Source organism: Homo sapiens, chromosome 15, assembly GCF_000001405.40.
Source record: "Homo sapiens chromosome 15, GRCh38.p14 Primary Assembly".
In the NCBI taxonomy this organism is placed as follows: Eukaryota; Metazoa; Chordata; class Mammalia; order Primates; family Hominidae; genus Homo; species Homo sapiens.
Genome location: NC_000015.10, coordinates 92,504,733 through 92,511,104, shown reverse-complemented (window position 1 = coordinate 92,511,104; position 6,372 = coordinate 92,504,733). Strand labels below are relative to the sequence as shown.

Below are 6,372 nucleotides of genomic sequence, written 5' to 3'. Positions count from 1 at the left end.
GTGCCTGTGCAGTGGTCTCTGCTAGGTGACACATGCAGATTTCCTTTGCCATTTTGGCTGCATGTTGAGTTCCTATTGCCGATGCCTCTCAGAGGTGCCTCGCTGGCCACTTTTGGCCTCCACCAGTGTTATGTGTGGCACTGCTAGCTTACTCTTGTGCCTTAGATAATCGTTGACCTCTTGGGGTGATCAAGAGAAACTGAGTCGTTTTTTATGGCCCTTGGACCTCAGGAAGCTAATGGTTATTGATGTGATAGGGCAGAGTAGTCAACCCTCTCATACTTACTGGTGAGGGAGGCACTTAGGTGAGACTTCTGCATTAAAAAATCTTAAATCAAGGTGAACACACAAGTTCCCTACATTTGGAGTCACCTCTAATCTCAAGGGAGAGTCTTCTGATCCACCACTATGGAAGGCGGGAGGGGTACGTGGCTCTTACTCTTCCTTTTCCAATCAGTAACTCCACCACCACTATCACCACTGTATATACAGTATCACACTGTAGGAATTTATTGCAATACACCCAAGAACATGTAGGCTGTTTCCTTTTTTGTTTATTACACGTAGTGCTCTTATACATGTCTCCTGAGGTACATATGCAGAGTTTCTCTAGGGCTATTATATAGTAAAGAATTTGTCTGGTCTTTGTTCCCAGTTACCAGCACAGAGCTTCAAAACCCTTGGAAATTCCTGAGCCATAGGAGTGTCTTTGTTATGATAATGGGGTGACTCACAGTGGATTCCTACACAGCTTCAGGATGGAGCTGGTCGTCAAAAAGATTGAGCATTAGAGGGTTGGGACTTTCAGCTGCCTGAGCTCTTGGGAGAGGTAGGGGGCTAGAGACCAAGTTCAGTCACCTTGCCAATGATTCAATCAAACTTGCCTGTGTAATGAAACCTTAATAAGAACTCAGGACAAAGGTCAGTGGAGTTTCCTGGTTGGTGTGCTGGAAGGGTGATGTGCCCTGACTCACAAGGAGAGGGCATAAGATCTCTGAGTTTGGGTCAGGGTCCGAGACCCACTCTATGCATATTTATTTTATTATAAATAAAACTATAATTGTAAGTATAATGCTTTTAGTGAGTTCTGTAAGTTATTATCACAAATTATTGAACCTGAGGGGGGCCACTGGGAATTCCCCAATTTATAATCACTTGATCAGAAGTGTATGTGGCATCTGAATGGAGGGTAGTCCAGTGGAGAACTTTGCCCTTGGCCTGTGGGGTTTTCACAGACTGGGTGGTTAGTGTCAGAAGTGTATTGCAGTACACCCAGTTGGGAGGAAACAGCACAGAGGTATATACCTAGGAGTGGAATTGCTGCCATGTTGTTTTCCAAAGTGATTGACCAATTCACACCCTGATCAGTGCAGTGTAAGTGTTCAGTTAGTTCCTCCTCACTCTTGACAAATGGTGGGCTTTCTAATTTATGCCAATCTGGTGACTTTCATGACTTTCTCACTGTAATTTTACTTTGAATTTCCCTTTTTCCTAAAGAGATCAAATATCTTTTCATATGTTGATTGCATTCAGGTTTCCTCTTTTATAAGGAGCTTATCGGTCTTCCTTATCTTTTTCTTAGATTGTCTTTTTCTTACTGATTACATATATATGATATTACTTTCTGTCTTTACTTTTCACTTTCATTTTGATGCCTTTTGAATACTTTTAATATAGTAGTAGTATTCATCTTTTTCTATGTGGTTTATGCTTTCTAGGTCTTGTTTAAGAAATAAATCCTTATCCTCAAAGTCTTAAATTTCTTTCTCTGTATTTTGTTCTTAAATTAAAATTTTGTTCTTCACACTTGTGTTTAATCTCTCTGGAATTAATTTTTCTGCATTATATAAGGTAAGGGGCCAATTTTGTTTGTTTCTATATAAATAACCAATTACTCTAGCACCACTTATTGATTAGTTCTTCTTTGCTACTGAAATGTTAGGTCTGTAATAAACCAATTTCTTGTATGTAAGAAAGTTTATTGATGGCTATTCTATTTCACTGGTCCATTTGCTCATTTTGTGCTAATACCATACTGACTTCATTGGCACCTGCTGAGATAAATTATTCAAATTCATTCTAATGTCTTAGTTATTTTTGGCCCTTTGTTCTTCCAAATATACATACTGGAATCAGCAAGGTCTATTAAAATAAAAACTTTGAAATTTATTTAGAATTTTATTTATTCTGAAGGTTAGTTTGGGGATAACTGACCATTATATGACATTAATCCTCTCAATCCATTAATACGGTATGGCTCTCTATTTATTCTTTAATAACTTTCAATATAGGTCTTGTACAATTTTTATTACATTTATTCTTAGATACTCTATATTGATATTTGTTGTTAAAATTATGTACTGTTATAAATTATATTACTCTGTCAGTAATGATCACTCAGAAAACCTCTTTGACACACAAGTAGAACTACAATAAACATCTCTGTGTATATTCCTTACAGACCTTCATAAGAGTATACTTGGGATCTATCCCTGGGAATGGAATTGTAGGCTCATGAGGAATACATATTCCTAATTTGATGAAGTAATCCCAAAGGTACTTCTGAACAGTTCTCACCAGCAGTATATGGGGTTTCTGTGTCTCCACTTCTCCAACACTTGACCCTAGAGGCATTCCTATTTTTTGCCAATCTAATAGGTGTAAAGGGATATCTCACTGTTATTTTAATTTGATTTTGATTCCTAATAAGTTTGAGCATCTCTTCATATACTTAATAGTTTTTTCTCTTGTAAAATGTTTTAAAATATTTTTGCTCACTTTTGGGTTTCTGTTTTTCTTCGTGATTTGCAGTAATTGTATAGTCTAGATATTATTTCCTTGTTGATTTTAGTCATTGCAAAGATCTTCTAATCTATTGTCCTACATTAAACAGACATCTTTCCTTTTGATGTAATTAATTTAATGCTTTTTGCCTTATAATTTATATTTTTGAAAATGTTTAAAAAATCCTTCCTTGCCTCTAATATGATCACAAAAATATTCTGAATTTTGTGAAATTAATTTTATATTTGTATTACCTGTCATATTTAGGCCTTTAATTCATTAGAAGTCCACCTTTGATTGCAGTTATAGGTTTAAATTCAGTTCTAATGACCTATTCTTTCTCAATTGATTCATGGTATCACCTTTGTCACATATTCAATTTCGATACACACACGTGCACATGCATGTATACATAGGTTTGGCTCAAACCTGTAGGTTTTACTCTCTATCTTCTTCCATTGGTCTGTTTATATATTCTTTCTCCACAATAAAAATGTTTCTATTAATATGTTAATATGGCTTTGTGTACTGTCTTACTGTCTGTTAGGAAAAGACCCTTTATTTTTTAAAGGTTTTTATGTTGATATGTGTTTTATTTCTTTTAAGTAAATATCCAGGAGTAGGACTTCTGGATTGCAAGCAAATGTATGTTTAACTTTATACAACACTGCCAGAGCTTTCTCCAAAGTTGCCATACCATTTTGCATTCCCACTAGCAGTGCGTGAGAGTTCCAGTTGCTCCATATCCTTTTCAGCACTTGATAATGTCAATTGTTTAAAGTCTAGCCATTGTAATGGGTGTGTAGTGTTTGTGACATGTATTTTCAATTCAATTATTATATTTTCCATTTCTAGAAGTTCTATTTATGCTTTTTTTAATCTGCTTAATTATTTTTAGATACACTTGCTTCTTACTTATCTCTCCTTTACTTTTTTCCCTTTAGATTTTATTCATTTATTTTTAATAGACTTTAGTTTTTAGAGCAGTTTTAGGTTCACAGCAAAATTGCACAGAGTTCCCATATTCCCCTTGCCCTCACACATGCACAGCCTCTCCATCATCAACATCCTACACCAGAGTAGTACAGTTGTTACAATCAACAAACCTACATTGGCACATCATTATCAGCCAAAGCCCATAGTTTACAAGAGTTCACTTTCAGTGTTGTACATTGTATGGGTTTTGAAAAGCATATAATAACATGTTTCTACTATTACAATACCACATAAAATAGTTTCACTGCCCTAAAGATCCTCTGTGGTCTGCCTATTCATCCCTCCCTCCTCTAACCCCTGGCAACAACTAATCATGTTACTCTCTCTATATTTTTGCCTTCTCCAGAATATCATACAGTTGGAATCATACCGTATGTAGCCTTTTTACTTTGGCTTCTTTCACTTAGTAATATACATTTAAGCCTCCTTTACTTTCAAAAGAACATATCAAACCTACTTTATATTCTGTGTCTGATAACTCAGTAGCTCCCATGTTCGCAGATTTCATTCTGCTGTCTATTTTTTGTCTGGCTTTGGTTCATGACTTCCTGTTGATTGTGAGCTCGTATTTCATGCAACTTTATCTGAAGAAATGTTTTGAGGGCTGTGTTGAAGATGACTTCCTTCAGATAGGGAAGCCATTGTTTGTTGTCAGGTGTCTGGGGGAACTACCAACCCAAGAGTATTTGAAACTGTCACCTGGAGGTTTTTAAAAATCAACCAGGTAGTTTGAATTCAGTCTATGCCTGCATGAGTATGACTCGAGATTACACACTCTCGAGGGAGATTTTTTTCTCCTCTACTCACCAGAAAGGTTTGACACAGACAATTTTCTTTGAAATTCTTGGAGAAGCAGGATTATTTCTAGATCATTTTTTTTTTTTTTTTTTGAGACAGAGTCTTGCTCTGTTGCCCAGGCTGGAGTGCAGTGGCGCAATCTGGGCTCACTGCAAGCTCCGCCTCCCGGGTTCAAGTAATTCTCCTGCCTCAGCCTCCCGAGTAGCTGGGACTACAGGCGCCCACCACCATGCCCGGCTAATTTTTTTTTTATATTTTTAGTAGAGATGGGGTTTCACCGTGTTAGCTAGGGTGGTCTCGATTTCCTGACCTCGTGATCCACCCGCCTCGGCCTCCCAAAGTGTTGGGATTACAGGCGTGAGCCACCGTGCCTGGCTCTAGATGACTTTTATGTGGCGGGTGTAGCGTTTAGTGTCCCAGCTTTTTGTTGGGGGTCTCCTGTCACACTTCTCATTTCAAAGGGGCCCTCAACTTCGCTTTGCTATTAGGAAATATGGGAAGGAAATCGGGTTGGGCAGGCAACTAACACTGTCTACTACAAAACACTATCTTAAATAAACATGTCATTAAGATAATGAATGTAAAAAGCAAGGACAAAGGAACAGGAACAAAATCCTTACAGGTTTACCTGAAGACATGGTGTGAGTTGACTCTAAGGCTTTACACATCTCTTTCTGCATTAAGATTCAGACAACGTTTTCTCATTCTGGAAATGTTCCTTGTGCTTTTGGCAGTATGCCTGTAGAGGTCAGCTAGCAAAGCATTTAATTCATCTCCTTTAAAAAACAAAACTATATATACACATAATAAATACATATATAAATGTATATGTTAATTTCTGCCATATTTCTAATAGTACACTAATAATATAGAATATACACTATATAATATATTGCATATATTTAATACATATAATGTATCATATATAGAATATATATACTACATATAATATATATTATAGATTATTAATGTCAACATAATTATATTATTATAAATATGAATATATTATATGACAATATTATATTAATACAGAATATATTAATATATTATATATTATATTTAACATTCATATTAGTATCGTAATATATCAATATACAACATATAACCATATATGCATAATATATAATATAGTATAATGTATAAGTTTCTCATTATATTTAATATATTACAATATAAAAACTATATTATAATTAGTGTTAATACTATATTATGATATATAGTATATCTATTATACTATTAGTGTACTGTTAGAAATATGGCAGAAATGAACACACTCCAACTCTGACGTGAACAAACATCCGGAGTGTCAGTTCTTGCCGGTACTGACAGAGATTGGGGGCTCTTTCACTATAACGATGCTCTGTAAGCATTCTTGGCTTCTTTCTTCTTGCTGCCTGATGAATTCATTAGGATAAATTACTGGAAGCAAAATCACAGGAGGAAATGCATGCTGATTTAAAATTTGGAGAGGTATTACCTAATTTTTATTCAGGTACTCTCTCACTAGCAGAGTGTGAGAGTTCTTTTTCCCTCATACCCTAGCCAACACTGGATATCATAAAAAAAAAATCTCTTGCACAGTCTCTAGTAATCTTGTAAGAGTTCTTATAAGTTAGTTCTAACTCTCATCTATAAATATCCATTCAAATTCAATGTTCAAACATCTACTGGGCCAGTTTTTCTTCTCTCAAATGTTTTCTCTACTCTCTTCAATTTTGAAAGATGGTGTTTGGGTATAGTGAAGAAGCTATGTGATTTCATGGCAAAGTGCCTGGTTAATGGAGGGGCGCTTTT

General features: G+C 35.8%; 1 annotated feature.

Moving 5' to 3' along the window:
• Positions 363-884: an enhancer, noted in NCBI's record as "OCT4-NANOG-H3K27ac hESC enhancer chr15:93053451-93053972 (GRCh37/hg19 assembly coordinates)". NCBI's record gives its function as "activates a minimal SCP1, AML or CMV promoter by ChIP-STARR-seq in naive H9 embryonic stem cells {active_cell/tissue: H9 hESC(naive)}" and the evidence as "EXISTENCE:reporter gene assay evidence [ECO:0000049][PMID:30033119]".